The sequence below is a fragment of the Homo sapiens genome, chromosome 4 (assembly GCF_000001405.40).
Source record: "Homo sapiens chromosome 4, GRCh38.p14 Primary Assembly".
NCBI lineage: Eukaryota > Metazoa > Chordata > Mammalia > Primates > Hominidae > Homo > Homo sapiens.
In genome coordinates this window covers 156,781,949-156,800,818 of record NC_000004.12, presented here as the reverse complement: position 1 = coordinate 156,800,818, position 18,870 = coordinate 156,781,949, and the positions used below count along the sequence as shown (strand labels likewise).

At 36.1% G+C, this 18,870-nt stretch overlaps 1 protein-coding gene across 7 annotated transcripts in view, besides 2 other annotated features; it reads left to right on the top strand.

The window, feature by feature from the left end:
- PDGFC (platelet derived growth factor C) overlaps positions 1 to 18,870 on the top strand; it is a 211,346-nt gene that overhangs the window by 170,981 nt on the left and 21,495 nt on the right. The window lies entirely within an intron of this gene.
- Positions 2,879 to 3,379: an enhancer, noted in NCBI's record as "H3K4me1 hESC enhancer chr4:157718592-157719092 (GRCh37/hg19 assembly coordinates)". NCBI's record gives its function as "activates a minimal SCP1, AML or CMV promoter by ChIP-STARR-seq in naive H9 embryonic stem cells {active_cell/tissue: H9 hESC(naive)}" and the evidence as "EXISTENCE:reporter gene assay evidence [ECO:0000049][PMID:30033119]".
- Positions 5,758 to 5,927: an enhancer, noted in NCBI's record as "experimental_75074 CRE fragment used in MPRA reporter constructs". NCBI's record gives its function as "activates a minimal promoter by MPRAs in K562 erythroleukemia cells, with activity observed for the non-introgressed 4:157716129 variant allele {active_cell/tissue: K562}" and the evidence as "EXISTENCE:reporter gene assay evidence [ECO:0000049][PMID:34662402]".

Here is an 18,870-nt window from a genome sequence, read left to right as displayed (position 1 = left end):
GCAAGATGAGGGTTGATTAAATCAGAGCCCTTTCACTGTCATAATCTTCTCACAGTTACAATTTTTGTAGACAGTTTCAATATTGATGAGCTATTTAGCATGTCTTGAACTCTGTTATAACATTAATGTAATGTCTAGTTGTATCCACTAGGATGCCAACCCTGCTTCATTCATAATAACGTGGCAAGTGTCACCAAATGACTTACCATATGATCCACACATTTGAGAAAATGCTACTCTCATCAGTATTCTCATAAATAATCAACAATTTGCCTATTTTAGTAATGCTGTTAATATATTTAAATGCTTTGAACATTAAAACTAGAGCTTTTAAAATTTTACATATCTCTCTAATTCAGATGATATAATTGTATTTTTATTTACTTAATATTACTTTGAAATCACATGAATCTGATTTTGTATATAACTTTCCATTTTTATGTCCTCTGATAATCTTAGAACAAAGCTAAAAGATAAGTATGATTAGTGTTATATATTTCTAAAGATGTTAATTTTGAAAGGCTCATATATTTTAAGCTTTTGGAAAGAAAATGCTTAATTGTATCAATTTGAAAATACTTGAGTCAGGCAAAAGAGAATGAACATAGATTAAAATAAGTGTGCCTTATGGTGGTTTTAAAAAATATATTATTTAATCCCCATATTGAAATATTACTACCATTTTGTAGATTAAAACTCAACATATATAGAGTGAAGAGAGTTCTCTTTAAAATCAGACTGCCTCTTGACTGGTTTGGAAAATAGGAGAAAGATCATTGAGAAAGAAACAAAAATTTAAGATCTCTTCTGACCATTTTTGTTTTCCTATTAAAACACCTGTATGCTATTCCTGTTGATTATGATGTCATGGATACTTTGGTAACTTTGAAAAAATGGTGAACTAATTAGAATTTACCAATTTTTTTTAGTAGTGACAATGGTGATAAATATTGAGGGTTAAACTGTAGTGTCTCCACACGGTAATCTATAAAATTCAAATCCAAACAAGAAGCTTTTTTAAAAAAATGTCACCTGGAGTCTAAGAAAAAGTAAAAATATGAATGCAGTCAATATTTTTCTTATCAGTCATATTTCATCAATATTAGCAAAATTACCCAGTTCCATGATGTATCTTAGCAATCTTGTCAGTGCCAAATTTTTCAGAACTGTATTCTTATAGAACCTTGTAAGGCTAAAATTTAGCTAAGAAATAGGAGAATAAAATTGGAAAGCAAGTATTTCTAGTGAATAGGCTGTCTTCTATTAAACACCTCAGAATGTGTCACTCTGGTATGCAAAAGACTCAGAGCATTTTTAGTTTGAAATTATGCAATCTGTGCACAGTATTTGAAATATAGGCACTCCTACAGTAAGTTTGGAGGAGAAAACACAAATCTAAGGACTAATACAATTTTTTTTTCGGCTTTTTGCAATGTGACCACATGTAGGCCACCAAAGGCCTCAGAAAACTGAGGGGGGAATTTCCAAGATGTCTTTGTGTCTTGGCCCCAGGGCAAAGGTCCTGTGTCTGCATAGATGTTACCACTCTAGTTAAGTCAGGTTTTGTGTAAGTGTGAATAAAAGCCATTATGGAAATACCTGGCTGATGCCTTTCCTTGTGCTTCTTCACCACAAGTAATTATTCAGGCAAGAGATCAAGGCTGTCATCTCTTGCTTTAAAGGAGTACATGAATTATCTTAGGTTCTTCCAAGGCAGATTGCTTAAGAAAGCTAAAGTTTATACTAAAAATTTTGTTTTATGGGAAAATAATAGGAAAGACATTGAGGTAGCAATTATCTAAGACTCTAACATAAAATCTGAGGTAGGCATTGGACATAAACGTAGGAGGCTCCAAATCAGCCCAGGCAGCTTCCAATACCTCCTCTGAAATTGGGTTTTTAAATTTGTGTAGCATTGCTAAAGAGGAAGTGCCTTTTTTTCCAGTGGAATAACATTCTGATAGAGTTGAATTTTAAAAGGGCACTTTTCTGCTGGGTACAAGTTAATGAAATAGCATTAAGTGTAATTAGTTTTTTTAGAGAAAGAAATATGCAAGCACTGAATTGTTAGAGAGACAGAGAAACACTGCATGCCAAAACTTGACTTTCAATACCTGAGTGAGGAGGTATTAAAATATATGACACATCCTTTGGATGAGATTCTTGAGAAGCCATCTCAAGCTTTCTGACACCAATATTTTCCTTTCTTTTTGGAATATGATGAGTGATGTTTTGTGGTATCCTAATCCTATTACTGATAAAAGTAATATGAAGAACTCTCACTTCTACCCAGGCCTACAGTGTTTTGTTTTGTGTTAAAGTCAGGGGAATTCTAATAGGATTCCCAATTACGTAAAAGAGGTTCACTTGCCATTCACTGTTTCCTCTACCTTGCTACAGTCTTTATTTGGCATTAAGAGCAATGGCATAATTTCATGTCACTGAGCAATTTGCAGATTTTAACTCTCTGAAAGGTCATAGAGGCTTTTGGTGTGATCTTAGACCTTGCTGTTGTGATGCCCTTTGCATCTGATTTTTACTTCTCTTAAATGAGGTTTAGCCTAAAGCTGCCTCTTTAAGGTTTTTGTTGTTGTTGTTTTGTTTTTGTTTTGTTTTGTTTTGTTTTTGTGACGGAGTCTCGCTCTGTCGCCCAAGCTGGAGTGCAGTGTTGCAATCTCGGCTCACTGCAACCTTCGCCTCCCGTGTTCAAGTGATTCTCCTGCCTCAGCCTCCCGAGTAGCCGGGATTACAGGCGCCCGCCACCATGCCTGGCTAATTTTTTTGTATTTTTGGTAGAGACAGGGTTTTACCATGTTGGCCGGGCTGGTCTCGAATTCCTGACCTCAAGTGATCCACCCACCTGGGCCTCCCTAAATGCTAGAATTACTGGCGTGAGGCACCGCGCCTGGTCTCCTCAAGTATTTTAATGTCGGTCTAAAGGTTTCTTCTTACATAATGAACTGTAACCTAACTAGATGTGTAAACAGACTGTAATCTACTCTTGTAAGGAGTAGCCCAGTCTCAGCCAATCACAGCAGCCGTACTTCAACCGCTCGCAGGTGACCAACTCCAAGCTTGTCCAACCCATGGCTCGCGGGCCCCATGTGGCCCAGGACGGCTTTCAATGCCGTCTAACACAAACTTGGAAACTTCCTTAAAACATTATGAGATTTTATTTTTGTGATTTTACTTTATTTCATTATTGTAGCTCATCAGCTATCGTTGGTGTTTATTGTATTTAATGTGTGGCCCAAGAAAGTTCTTCTTCTTCCAGTGTGGGACAGGGAAGCCAAAAGATTTGACATCCCTGGAACTTTAAACCATGTTCAAATGCAGAGCTGTGACCAATCCAGCTGTTTCTGTACCTCACTTCTGTTTTTTGCGTATCACTTTCCTTTTTCTGTCTTTAAATTCTGTCAGATCACCTGACAGTGCTGGAGTTGCTCTGAACCTATTCTGGTTGAAGTGGGGTGTGGGCGAGGGGTGAGTGTGCTCCTTAATTCACAAGTATTTTTTTGCTCAATTAAGCTCTGTTAAATTTAATTGTCTGAAGTTTTTCTTTTTTTTTTCTTTTTTTTTTTTAGACTGATTGTCGCTCTGTCGCACAGGGTGGAGTGCAGTGGCGCGATCTCTGCTCACTGTAAGCTCTGCCTCCCAGGTTCATGCCATTCTCCTGCCTCAGCCTCCCAAGTAGCTGGGACTACAGGCAGCCGCCACCACTCCTAGCTAATCTTTTCGTATTTTTAGTAGAGATGGGGTTTCACCGTGTTAGCCAAGATGGTCTCAATCTCCTCACCTCATGATCCGCTCTGCTCGGCCTCTCAAAGTGCTGGGATTACAGGCGTGAGCCACCACACCTGGCATTTTTCTTTTAATACTTTCTTCTTTGTCTTGCAAGGTTGTAGCAAATTGTGACTTTGCTTAAAGTAAGCATTCATTTGACTTAGAGTTATATGTAATTTTCTATAAGTTTATATTAAGTTGATTTAAAAAACCAACAGCCTATCCATAGTAATAATGATAGTATGCATCATTTCTCGAATACTTACTATTATATTGGGTTCCTGCTGTAAGTCATCTCATTTATTCTTTTCAGTAACTCTATGCTAAATCATCACCATTTTGCCTAAAAGGAAGTACACTCAGAGAATACAGCTTGGCTGAGGTTCAGAGAAAATAAATGGGAAAAATTATAGTGAAATCCATAATTTCAACTACAGCACAATGCCTCCCAACCAATATTGCTTGAAAAGAACTTACTTAAGTTTTATTTTGAGATAATTGTAAATTGACACCTTTTGTAAAAAAAAAAAAAAAAAAAAAAAAATACAAAGTGGTCCTGTATACTGTCCGCCTAATTTTCCCCAAGGATAACATCTTGCATGAATATATAATAGTATACCACAACCTGGAAACAGACATTGATACTTGGTACAATTCACCAAACTCAATAGGAAATTATGAATAAATAAAAATATAAAACACTATGGGGGTACTAAATAAAAATATTATATAAAAAGATATCATTTATAAGTTAAAAAATGTTTGATTAGTGCATAGTTTTAAAAATGGCTCAATCAAGAGTATCAAGAAGGAGGGTATAATTTTGTATCACTAAATGGCTTTAGAATATTAACTTGGGTAAGGAGGAAAACTTTTTTTCTGAAGTAGGTGATTTTATAATCTTTATCTAAAACTCTGCAGTGTGGTGCAGAACCATCATTGCAGCTTGGAGCACAACATCTATCATAGATTAAAGATTACAAAGTCAAAAATAATACCACAAATCACTCCTCTTGATGTGGGATTCAGAGTAAACGTGTGAAACATAAATAGTCACTATAAATAAATCCATGAATGAGGCTCTGCTGCCTCCACGACAGAGATTAATGAAGTTTTAGGATACTAAGAGCTCAAGATATAATCTACAGCTTTAAACTGATGTCAAGATTCAGAACTGATTGCTTTAAAAGCCCTTCATTTTTCTAGAAAAGATTGATGACTGTAGTGCAGCTAAATCTCTCCCATGCAAAATTTATGTAATTTGGTTCCAACAGGTATCTTATATGGTAGTTTTACATATTAAATTTAACTATACAATATGTAAAAGTTAAACTGTTTTCAAAGCAGTCCACATTAACACATGATATTTTCAAAGTATTTCTTAATTTTAGAATTCATTGGAAGTCTGCTCATGAACATATTTGGGGTTTGTAGCTGGACCATTAGTTAACTTGAGTAGTTCAGGTGGAGAATCATAAAAATTATGTACATATTGGTAAACATTTAATTTTAATTTTACCACTCATCATTTAGGGCCTGTACTTTTTTTTTAAACAGGGATTTGCCAACTGGAGTTGTGTTGTATTTCTTCCAAAAATTATAGCCACAATGCCTCAATTATGACTTTCAGTTTGGTTTTCTTTGAGTTAAATTGAAAACTTAAAGATACCTTTTAATGCAATCTAAGCTCAGAAATCCTCCATGATTTTATGAGGCTTTCCTTCCTGTATTTCACAGTTATCTCTCTCATACCTGACTTAACAGCAGTTTTTTATAGTAACTCATTTTATATGGAGTCCTTCCAAGGCATTCGTCTAAATTTTCAAAGAAGCAATAACTCATATTTAATTGGGTTACATAATATTTGAATAACTTAGTAATTAAAACAACAGGTGCTAGTGATATAAATACTTTTGGGAACAAATACAAGTGTCTCTTGGTAAGTGTAAGATTTAACTGCTGGAAACAGAAAGGATGCCAGTAAGCAGTAGTGTTCAGTGAGTTGTCAGTGTCAACAGTCAGTATGCTTCACATGCATAGGAGAAGTGGTTAAACCAGGTCAGCGATGGCAATAGCTGCTGTCCTTTGTCCTTTGTTCTGTTTCCATCTTGATACTGCATGATATGTCATTGGAAAATCGTAAATTAAATGCATGCGGTCAATAGAGAGGTGATTGGTAACGTGTCTTGGTATATATATATCCAAGTAGCTAGTAATATGCTTGACAAAATGTTGATATTTAATATATTTTTGTTCTCTTCCATGATTTTTTTCTATAATTAGCTTCACTAGTTTTCAAGCTATTTTTCTATGTAGTTGCAGGCTTCTTTGAGTTTGAAGGAGTGAGTGTTCTACTAGAATGATACCCTTTAATAGAATTCCAGATGAAGGTATATAAATAGATATTTTTATCTTATTAATAAAAAGCAAAAGGTCTTGTAAAAAATATTACTCACCAAAGTAAAGGAAAAGCAGAGTTTCCTTTTCTTCCTGTCTTCCTTCCTCCCTCCCTTCTTTTTTCTTCCTTCTTCTCTTTCATTCTTATTTTTCTTTCTCTTCTTAAATGCTTCCCTATCTTAAGCTACTTCTTGGTTTGTGTTACTTTGAAAGCTAATATTTCAAAATTTTGTCCAGATTTCCCTACTCTAATGCTTCTTTAGGAAAGAGGCAAACTTTTTTGTTTTTAAATTCTTCTGTAAGTTAAAACAACTCCTTAGTTAAAATCACACATTCTATTTTCTAATATATACCATGCTCTTCCAATATAGAGCATGTCCTGATTTAAGGAGAAAGATGGTTGAATGTGTAAGCTGTAAGCAGCTAAGCTGCTTCAGCTTTCCCAGTGTGTCAGCAACGCCAGGGCTATGAAAAGATCAAGCTGAAGAAACACGGTTTAAAGTTATCTCAGGTTTATTTTCCTTACAAGCTGCCATAATCCACACATAGTGCGCAGTCAAAGGTGCTGGAATAGGACAATGTTTTATGATACAAATTATATCATCCATGTTAACAGTAGTACTTACTCTTCTAAGACCTTGGATGCTACTAAGGTATTAGTAGCTCCTCAGTTACTGACCTTAACCAAGATCCTTTACTGAATCTCACTGCAAGGGTGTTGTGTTCTTATAACCTTGAGTGCTTCACATTTGGCTTGAATTCCCATCCTACCATGAATCTACCTATATAAACCTGGGCAGTTTTTTTTTTTAATCCAAAAATGTGAATGACAAAAATTTCTGCCATATATTATCATGAGGATTACTATGAAATGCTTAGCCCAGTGTTTAGCATGTGGTAGTCAACAAGTATGTGTTACCTTTGTTTTAAGGTCAGGTTTATTGACATGTTCTGATTCCAGGCCACTGCCCCCCTGATTGGTATTTAAAAAATTTTTTTGCCCAAGACCCCACTATAAGGACAAATTTTAAAGTGTGATCATGTATACACACACATATAACATTTTAAAGTGTTTTATATATATATATATATATATATATATATGCACATAATTCATATGTATTATAAAATAGTACTTAACCTTACTATATGAAATTGTTTTTTTTTCTCAAGAATGCTGGTCACAATGCACTAAATTGATTTCACAACTCCACTAAACATGTCACAACGTGAGTTTGAAAAGTCTTAGATTATAAAAGATGTATCATTTGTACATGAAAGAGTATGCTCTTTGGTCATTTTACGTCCCTTTCTGGGAAAAGATTGTATAATAACACTAAAATATGTAAAGATTAATTCTTATAGTCCCCAAAATTGATATTAAAAATAGTTTCCATTATAACCTGCTACATCTAAAATGGACTTTAGAAAATCTAGATTTTAAAGTCTTCTATCAACATTTGACTCCTTTTAAGAATTTGTGCTTGATGATAGCTTTTCAGAATTTTACTGTTTAATGAAGATAGGAACTATTTATTGAATGTCTACTTGTATTCTATGATATTAAAATAGACAGCTTGTTGAAGTTATGCCCTGTGGTTGAGTTTGCTTCCCCCTTATTTGAAGAACTCATCAATCTCTAGTACAGGAATTTCAGGTTCAATTAGTAGTTTCTGATTCAACACTCCAGAGTCCATCTGTCCCCTGTAACTGTTTGGTGCCAATGGCAATATGCGGAGGTGAAGGTGAGGGTTTCCTTCATACCCTCTGGAAATCTTTAAGTTTTCAGGGAAACAAAAGAAGAGGCAAGAGTGATGACTTATGGATGGCTGTCTCATTGTAGTGCTTATAAAATGCAGGTGTGTGAAATTTGTTCTCTGCATTATAATTGGAAATGCAGATTAAAGGTTTTGGAAACCACAGTTATTCATTGTTTAGATAGGTCTGTAGACTTCCTGAACTATGCACACTACGTGGAATTGGCCTTTAGTGGTATTTGCTTTGTGTATTAATGGCATTTCTGCCTGAAGATAATGGCATTTCTGCCTGAAGATAGTGTATTTTTGGTAGAAATAACTTGTCATTCAATTGAAACATTTTGCTTGTGAGATGCTGGAGTTTCAAAATATTTATCTGCTCATGTATGCACACCTGTTTCCCTGCTTTTCTGTTTTCTGATCTTGACACGTTTGTTTTTGTTTTTAAAAATGTGCTCTGTGATTTTTTGTGGAATGTGACTTTTACATTCTAACTCAATTCCAAATTGGCTCAAGTGTCCCACCAATACACTACTTGTTTAATTCATATTATGAATAAATTATATTGACAGTTGTCTTTTCCTTCATATATTTGGATTGTACCTCCAGTGGAACCTGTATTTTTTACACTTTTATCCAAATTGTATATTATATAGATATTAGTATTTATTTAATCACTTTCCTAACCACTCACCCACCAGATTCAGTGTGCTACTTTTGAATTTAGAACATTAAGAATTTCAGTTCACTGGTCACATTTGTTTTAAGCAGACAAAGATCCTAGGCGTTTTCCTTGGACCTTGGGATTGACAGAAATTTTTTACAGATGTTAACCATGGTGAAATTGCTTTTTAAATATCCCTGTTGATCTCTTTGAATAATAAACGGGAGGATTTCATTAGATATATCAAAGTTTCCAGGCTTTCCCGAAATATATTTGAAAGTTCATGGCCAAATGGAGATTAGGTTTTCAGGCCAATCCTAGGCAAGGTGTTAACATTGCTGTTACCACACTCATATGTATTACTCAGTGAAGACATGTTTTTAATATGTTTTAAGATTTGTCTTTGTAATGCATCTTTGTAAGGTTACCACAACTAATGTATTTTATTACTCTTAGGGAAATTTCAGTGTGGTACGTGGGATGCTAAATAATTAAAGCTAAATAGTTAACATGTAGGAAACAAAATAAATACATATAATTTTGTTTTAAAATTTAAATATGTAAAATCTATGTTTGCACTGCTTTGTATTTAGCAGATATTCCCCCAGTTAATGTGTGAATCAGTTCTTTGAAATTCAAGCTTTATCTTAAATAATTCTTCTTTATTAGGTCATTTCAGTGCATTCTTTACATTATTTCCTCTTTTTTTTTTTAAACTGTCCTAAAGCTGTTGTTACTATATGCTTGATTAAAAGAAAATTTATTTTTGAGGTTCTCTGAGCTTGGATATTTTAAAGCATGTCAGACTCAACATAATCATTTCTGAGTTTCCACGTTAGTAATAAATACACGATAAGCTGGATATCAACAATAATAATTGTACTCTTTTACAGGAATGATGGCAATTCATCCAAATGTCTTGAGATCAGAGCCTGTCTTAACCTTTGTATTTTCACTTTATAGTGGGGTACCTAGGACATAGTAAGCACTCTTAAAATTTTAAGTGAATGAATGGATGATAGATCCATCTTTCCTTGGTGTTCTGGTGGCAGAGACAAATGTTCCTGTGACAGCAAGCAGCACAAGGTCATTAAGTAGTACTGGCTGGGAAAATGCCAGGCTTTGCATTGTATTGTGGTAAACCAAATTCCTGAAGCCCAAAGCCAGAGAGCCGCAGCCCTAAGCTCCATATGAATGTTGATCCTAGGAAAAATCCCTGGTGGTTTGCCTGAGGAATCATTGGCACCTTCAAGATGTGAAATTGATGCCAATGTAGGATGTAAAATGCAAAAGCCAGGCAGGAAAAAAGATTCAGATCATGTGGAGTAATAAAAAACATCCAAGTTCCTACCCTGTGCCAGAGGAACTTAATTTATTGGCTTGCCCCGTTCTCAGTATGGCATCACAATAGCTGTACCTAATTTGTATTGTGCCTTTCATGTTACAGAATATTTCACATGCACAAACATGTTTAGTGAATAATTAGGATGAAAAAATCTCAATAAATAATTGGTATAAGTTTTGGAGTTCACATCTTGAGGTTAATATTTTTGTTGAGAAAAATTGGGATGGATAGAATTTGCAATAGACATACATTGTTTGCTGATGATCAATTTAGGGGGAAGATTGTCTTGTGTTGTTAATATTTAAACATGTTTATTCTATCCAAATTCATAAAGTTTCAACATTTGGAGAAACCTTTAAATTGTTTTTGCTTATCTTCCATCTGATTCACAATCTCCTTTCCTCCCAAACAAAATGACTTTGTGACCATGGCATAAAATATAAGAATTCATTGTCTCTTAGCTCTTAAGTCCATTCCATTTTTAACTAATATTGTTTTCAGAAAGTTCTTTCCTGTATTAAACAAAAATCTTTCTTCTTTCAACTTCCTCTCACAGGTCCTTATCTTTCCTTTGAAGCTACTTGCAATAATTTTATGACCTTCACCATTGCTAATAATGCATGCTTATTATGTTTTAAGATACAATTATGTGCATTATTTTATTTGAGCTGCAAAACAACCCATTAAATTAGATAGCTTATGTGTTATTATCTGTCTTACAGATACATACACTAAAATACAGAGAAAATAAATAATTGGCCAGTGATCACACTCATAAAATGATAAATGGTGAATCCAGGGCCTGTGCCCAGGTCTTCTGATTTAAAATTCCATGTTCTTGCCATGATACTATGTTTCCTCAAAGTATTCTTTCTTTTTTTTTTTTTTTTTTTTTTGAGATGGAGACTCACTCTGTCATCCAGGCTGGAGTACCGTGGCATGATCTCGGCTCACTGCAAGCTCCGCCTCCCGGGTTCACGCCATTCTCCTGCCTCAGCCTCCTGAGTATCTGGAACTACAGGCACCCGTCACCATGCCTGGCTAACTTTTTTGTATTTTTATTAGAGATGTGGTTTCACCGTGTTAGCCAGGATGGTCTCGATCTCCTGACCTCATGATCCGCCTGCCTCGGCCTCCCGAAGTGCTGGGATTGCAGGTGTGAGCCACTGCACCCGGCCAGTATTCTTTCTAATTTTTAGTGATGTCTCATAAAGTCTTTACTTCTTCAGATTATATATCCTCAGCTTCTTTAGTTTCTCGATTTTGTCAGCCACTTCTCAAGTGACCTGATTTTCAATAAAAGCAGCTAGATGATGAGTGCTAGTTGGTGTGTGTGTGCATGTGTGTGCACACGTGCAGATCTTGAGAAAAGTTCATAGACTTCTGGCTGGTATTTATAAAATATTTTGTAGTTACACCCAGTCTTTGAATGCCCCCGTACACACAGCTTATTTTTTGTTTAGCTGAGTCTATCATCTTAAGTAAAATTTTATGTATTTTCATAAACAAATTTGTACATCATGTGCCTTCTCAGAGGCAAAGAGTTTTCAAGTGAAGAATTATAGGCCTAACTCTTTATTTTCTATGTTACTATTTTGTCAAACCAGAAAAATGTATTTTTTCTAGGCAGCTGTTTAAGAATCATAAGTTTTTCTGTCTGCACTCCGTATTTGATTAGAGGGAAAACCTCACATCTTACCAACTTCATTCATTCTGGCTAGCACAGAAAATAAATGTTTTCAGATTGTAGCAGTGGATTCAATAAAACAAAAGTATTTCCAGTGTTCACTTAGAAACTGCTTTGTCCAGTAGATACAGGATTATACCAGGATCTAAATATCAGAGGAAGAGGTTACCCTTGTGTCAACAATTATATAATTCTATACTCAAAACCCAAGAACAAACTAACCACTTCCTAAATTATGAATAGCAGTAGCACAAGCTGAAACCACAGTTGATCAGTGCATATAAAACCAGTTTTCCTAGTACTTGTATATAATTATTTTCATAATATTTTGCACAAAATAATCAGAAGTCAGAAAATATTTCTGCATCAGTGAATAAGGAAGACATTTAGCAAGATAAATTCTTTTAAAGTAACCATTTCTGAAAAATGGTTTTAAAAACGGCATTGTATTTGTTGCATGAGCATTCATATTAACCAACTTAAATAGTCCTCTTTAAAACTGATTTCTCAGAAACTCTACTGCTTACACTGAATGTTTCAAGTCCCTTGAAGCTAATACTTTGAACCAAATACCCTTTCTTTGAGGCTAATTGGTTAGAAGATGATTAAAATTCGGATTTGAATTTCACCAGTTTTCCACATTGAATAAGAAGCAGCATTGAATTCATTGTGAAGACAGCCAATTGCTCAGTTCAAGTAAGGATTTTTGGCCCTGCTAAGTTTCTGATACTGAAATTTAACTTTTTAATTATTATAAACTTTTATCAACTTGTCTTCAAAAATTTCTAAAATACCGACTCATGAATTTAATCTCTCTTAGCCAAGTTCTTAAAGGGCCTTAGTAACAAAAGTTGCCGTTGATCTTGGTAGCTTTTCGGGGTTCTGGAGATTCTCTGTGGACACCTAGGCATTCTTCCTTCAGCTTTCCTGTGTATTTGTCTTTCTTTGCTCTCAATGTGTTCTGTGTGTGTTTTTTTTTCTCCTATCACTGCAGCATTTGCTTAGTTTGACTTCTTATCGGTGAGACTCCTTGTCCGAGATTATTGGCCAGCACACTTGATTTAAGAACGCTCTGGAAATACTCAGCCACAGAATTATGCCCCCACACCATGAATGTTGTCCATGAATGAAATGCTGTTGTCATTCTCTAGACCTGTTTTAGAGTCATATGTTCTGTAGTGCTACTGTCCAGACATTCGGCATCTTCTTTGTCTATCTTCTCTACTCCTCTCCTAGACTGTTACCTTACATTTTCCCTCTCCTCAAGCCTCTGGCATTATTTCTCCCATCCTCACTCTTAGATGGTAATTTTTTTTCTCTGTCACAAGGAGATTACAAGCAATCAGAAAAGGACTTCTGAACACTTTCCTCACGCTACTTACCTGCATGTCTCACTGGCCCTCAGCAACTGACTTTCCTCCCAGTGACCCTAGGCGAACATTGTTTGTCTTCCTTACTCCATCTCATTCATCTCTTGACCACTCAAGTGTGCCTCCTGCACTCTTCTCTCTCTCTCCTCCTCCTTCTTCTTTTTTCCATTGGCCATTCTATTGGTTCATTACCCTCAGCACATCAATAAGGCTATTACTTCTCCCATCTTTAAAGGAATATGTGCTTCTCCTGATCCCACATCGTCATCCAGCTACCACGCATGTTGTCTCCTCTCTTCTCAGCAACTGCTCACGACAGTTATGTTGCATTCACTGCCCTCTTTTTATTCTCTTCTAAACTCATGCTCATCATATTTTTTGCCTCATCATTTGTCAGAATCGCACTTGGTACTCCATGATGACGTATTGCTAAATTCAGTGGAAAATCCTCAATCCTCCTCTTATCAGACCTATCATCAGTGGTTGACACAACTGATTATTCACTTCTTTTCACTGAACACTTTGACACTGGTATCCAGATCAGCACTCTCTCCCTGTTTTCCACCTATCTCTCTGGCCACTCCTCAGTCCTCTTCACTGGTTCCTCCTTCTCTCTCTCTCAACTGGAATTATGACAATGTTTCTAGATTCAGTCCCCTTTTTAATAGAGATCACTTTATAACCATGGCACCTCTTCCTAATAACATTCATTTGACAATCTTGTCCAGTCTCATGACTTTTAGTAATATCCATAAACCTCTGGATCTCAAATTTATGTATCTAGCCCATGTAACCTAGAATCTTCTCTTGAATACCCACACACCTCTCAATCTTTCCATTTGGATTATTGAAACTACTTCTAAGTGGCCTCCCTGTTGCTACCATTGCCTTCCTGCATTCTATTTTCAGCACAGCAGTGAGTGTGATCCTTTTAAACATAAGGCAGATGATATAACTCATTTCCTTGAAACTCTCCAATAGCTCCCAACTACAGTTGCCAAAGTGAACAAATGAAAACACAGGATTGCCTAGTTTTATATGTGAATTTCAGCTAAACAATGAATGATTTTATAATTTTGGGGCCATACTTATACTAAAAGATTATTTATTGTTTATCTGAAATTCAAATGTAACTGGGCATCCTCTGTTTTATCTGGCAGCTCTACTCCCCAGTCACCCAGAGTAAATTGCTAATCCTCACCGTGACCTACAGTGTCCCCTTGTAGTCCTATTATCTCCAACCTTTGGTCCAGCCACAGCGTCCCCTCCTTGTCATTCCTTGAGTTGAATTTACCTAACATACTTCCAAACAGATTATTTGCCCTGATATTCCATATTCATGGGATAATCTTCCTCACATAGCCCCACGACTTCAAGCGTCAACTCCTTAAGGTTTTGCTTGCACGTCAGCTTCTCACAGAGGCCTTGCCTGTCATTCTTGTCTTCTTCCTGCTTTACTTTTTACTTCTTCCTGCTTTTACTTTTTTCCTGCAATACACTTTACCATCTAACATTGTATGTGCATTATTTATGTTGTGCATGGTCTGTTTTTCTCCAATAGAATATGTATTACATAAAGGCAGAGATATTTACTTCTTTTGTTCACTGCTTGATCCTCAGCACCTAGAAGAGTGTCTGGCTCGTATTAGTTGCTCAGTATGTATTTATTGCAAATGAATATATATTACATAAATGGTGACAAGATAGATAATCAAGAGCCTATTAGTGTGGTTATGAATGATCATATTATGTTGATTAGGGTAATGGTGATTAGTTTCACAGTACCGTATCTGAAATCAGCTGAAGCAATGAAAGTTTTAGGGAAATAAAGATGATTTCAGAGCATTGTACACTTAGGGCAAAGCGATACAGAATAGAGGGGCAGGGTAAAGAACAAGGCAAAGAAAAGAATGTAGGAAGATATTTTTTCAATTGACCTTGAACTTTGTGGGAAGATATTGATCAACTGACCTAGAACTTTATTAAATCTCACTGTGACTTTGCACCTCCTGAGTATTCTAGCCCTGCCCAATGTAGACATTAGATTCTACATGGAAAAAAATGTGCATTATTTTAATAGTCCCGTAAGTTGATCCTAGTTGATAGAATTTTACCTTTTGTAACTGCATGAATGTTACACTTTGAAGAGTCGGTCATCTCTCACCTGTACTGACAATGCTGTTCAGTCACCCCTTTATCTGATGCTGGCTGCTCCCTTTCCAGACTGTTGTGCACCCAGTAGATTCCTTGCATATCAGATTGAGAACTGATGGATCTACTTTTAGAAGTTTATTAAACTTAGGGCCGGGCACAGTGGCTCACATCCGTAATCCCAGCACTTTGGGAGGCTGAGGCTGGCAGATCACCTGAGGTCAGGAGCTCGAGACTAGCCTGGCCAACATGGTGAAACCCCATCTTTAAAAAATACAAAATACAAAGTGCAAAAATTAGCCAGGTGTGGTGGCGGACCCCTGTAATCACAGCTACTTGGCAGCCTGAGGCAGAAGAATCCCTTGAACCCTGGAGGCAGAGGTTGCAGTGAGCCAAGATTGCGCCACTGTACTCCACACACCAGCCTGAATGACAGAGTGAGACTCCGTCTCAAAAAAAAATTCAGAACAGTAAGATCTTAGCCTGGGTGTCCTTAGTCTCTGCCTATGCAGAATGTGAATCATCCTGTTTGCTTTATAGTTTATATCACAGTGGCAATCATATCCCTGAGCTGTTAGGGATCAAAGTTTCTACATTGTTCTCATGTACACTAAAAATTATTGAGAATAAAATGGACCACTGTACATACATAAAGTGTAATCATTTATTTAACAGCCTTCCAATTATGAACATTTGTTTTAAATTTTATTTTTAATTTTCTCTATTAATAATGCTACAATGACTATCCTTGGATTATACTTCTGATTATTTCCTTAAGATAAAAATTCTGAATATGGAATTACAGGATCTGAAAAAATGGACACTTTTAAGACTGCTTGTGGAAAATATTGTTGAATTGTCTTACAGAAATACTTTGACATTTTAGTCTTCTTTACAGTTCATGAGAAAAATATTTTTGCCCCGTCTTGATCTACAATTGACATTAACTCTCCTCTGTCTTCTGATTTCTTTTATTCATTGGCCTTCTTTTCTAATTGCAAATATACACGTATTTCTGTACTTATTATATTAAGCTTTTTTCTAATCTTTCTTCTCATAAATCTATGATTCTTTCTTATTTTTTTCTCCCTGCCAAACTTAATGAAAAAGTTCTACTTGCTTTCTCCATTTCACTGCTTTTTAACGGCCCCCTTTCTTCCTTTCTTACTTCGATGAAACTTCTCTATTCCTAAGGTCACAGAACACCACCTGTGGAATAGCTACAGTGGCCTACTTTTACTCCTCTTTCTTGTTGATCTTTCCATTACTTTGATGTTATTCTCCCTCTTCTACTCCTCAAAACTCTCTTCTCCTTGGGAGGAAAAATCACTAAGACCTCCAGGCTCTCTTCCCGACCCTTAGATTGATCTATTTTGAGACACCAGTGCTGGTTGATCCAGTGCCTTGGCCATTGGTCTAAGTATGGGGAAATCCCATTTTCCTGTCTTCTATCCTCTTTTCTTTTCATGTGTGCTCTTAGCTCATGGCTTTAACATTTGACATTTGTATATGTTAATGATTATCTTTCTCTATTCCAAGTGAGTCCTCTATATTTAATGCCACAAAAATGTTTGCAGTTGTCTGCTGGATATATGCGTGTCAATACACCTCCACTTATTATAAATTGACCCAACCTGAACTTTTCCTTCTTTCTTACCAATTTTGCCTGTATTACATAGTTATGTCACTGTTAATGCATTCCCTGAAGCTAGAATCATTTAAAATTAAGCATATCTCTTCTCTCCCTGATTCCCCATCCCACCAGCTACCAATCCTGTTGGTTCTACCATGGTCATGTACTTTGCCACCCTTCTTTTCATTTGTTTTCCTCAATGGTGGTAATCAATCAGATCATAAAGCATACTCTTTTTAGCACTTCATTAATATTCTGTCAGATCCTGAATACTATTGGAGATCAAAATATCCAAAAGACATCAAGATTTGGCCCCACCATGAAAGAACTTCGAGGCAAGTAGGAGGGACACGTACAACAATTTCAATTTGATGTAGTGCTAGACATATGAACAGAATGGTGGATCACAAAGGTCGACCAGCTTAGAGGTAGTCGTGTATATATAGAGAGAGGTCTCACTAGTGGAAGCCTCCTGGAGAAGCTGAGTCTTTATTAGTGGGTAGTGATTAGCCATGTGACAAGGCAATAAAAGCAGTTATTATTAACAAAGGGCAACATCAGGAGCAAAGGTTCAGATGCCAAAGCCTTGTTCATGGCTCCCACCAGAGTCTGCACACCCCCTTCTCCCAACCCAAGGCACCTCCTCACCTAAAATAGAAGTAGAAAGCCAGAAAAATTAAACTTGTATGTATCCCACCTTCCTTAACATCTCTTTTGACTCTTGTACTGCTTTGTGATTAAATCCAGATTCCATAGCATGGCACACACAAAGCCTTCCCAATCAGACCCCAATTCATTCCTGCAGCCTCACCTTCCACCATCTACTCTCCCCCTAATAGCAATGCTTTGTCACAGTCTTCATCTTTTTCTTCACCCAACACCATTTTTTTCCAACTCAGTTTCTTTGTAAATATCTAAAGTGCTTCTCCCTTCTAATCTATATAATAATTACTTTCTAATTCTCTAAGCTCTAGATTAACTTTGATCTCTTCTTTGTATCACCTCCTTAATTCTCTAGGCAGAATTAATCACACTCACAGCACTTGGGTTTTTACTTCCGTTATAGTCATTACCTAAAGGACACAGGTTTTTCCATCAAGAGATACGAACCTCACAATGGCTATATTATTCATATTCTTCATTTGTTGTGAGCACGTGACAGGAGTATAATATAGTCTACTGAATGATTTAACTTTTTATCTAACCCTGTTTTCAGAGCCATATCTTGCTTGTATCAATAGAAGAAGCCTTTTCAGGTGTGTTTGAGGTGACCGTACCAACTTTTCACAAAAATATTCTATGTTCTCTGTTGCCCCTGGTGATCGTTTTGACCTGCCCAGAATTCTGACCGTGAGACACAATCTCATTTTAGTGTGGTGACCGACATGTAAAAACATGACCAAAGAACATATAACTGTTTATGCTTTTATTTTTTGAAAGTGTTCAGATCTGTGCATGAGTACTAAAGATTTTATGGCAGAATAGGGATGTCACAGAGTGATTTAAAAATGTAAAAAAAATGCCCAAACACTTCACAAAATAATTATCATTTATATTTTTCTCCATTGTTGAAATAGGAACGGCATGCTAACTAGTTACTTTACAGAAGTTTCTTTTAATGTAACACCGTACACTGTAATTAAGATACCAGTGACATGGTGGGCCTCAGAGTTGAAATCCTGCATTTTGCATAGGATTTTTTGTTGGTTTCATTTCATATAAAGATTTTATAGGCAAAGAATATGAATTCAGAAAACCGACATAGGATAAGTGAGCAGCCAAGGGTATCATTATGCTTATTTTTTAAGTTCTTTAGCACAGAGGTATTCGTAGCCATAAAGATTAATTTGCTGATGTGTAATGCCCATTTCTCCCTCCAGAACAACTACTGAATATAAATCTGTTTTAGAAGAGAAAGAAGTCTGTTTCAGAATTTTCCTTGTAGGGTTGGACAAGCTCTGATTTGCCACATCAGTCTAGAAAGAATGTTGGGTGGAGATGTCATTGAACGCTGCCTAATGAGGTCATGCCACTCCATGTAACACAGACCAACATCAATCATGAGCTATATTTTTTAAAATAA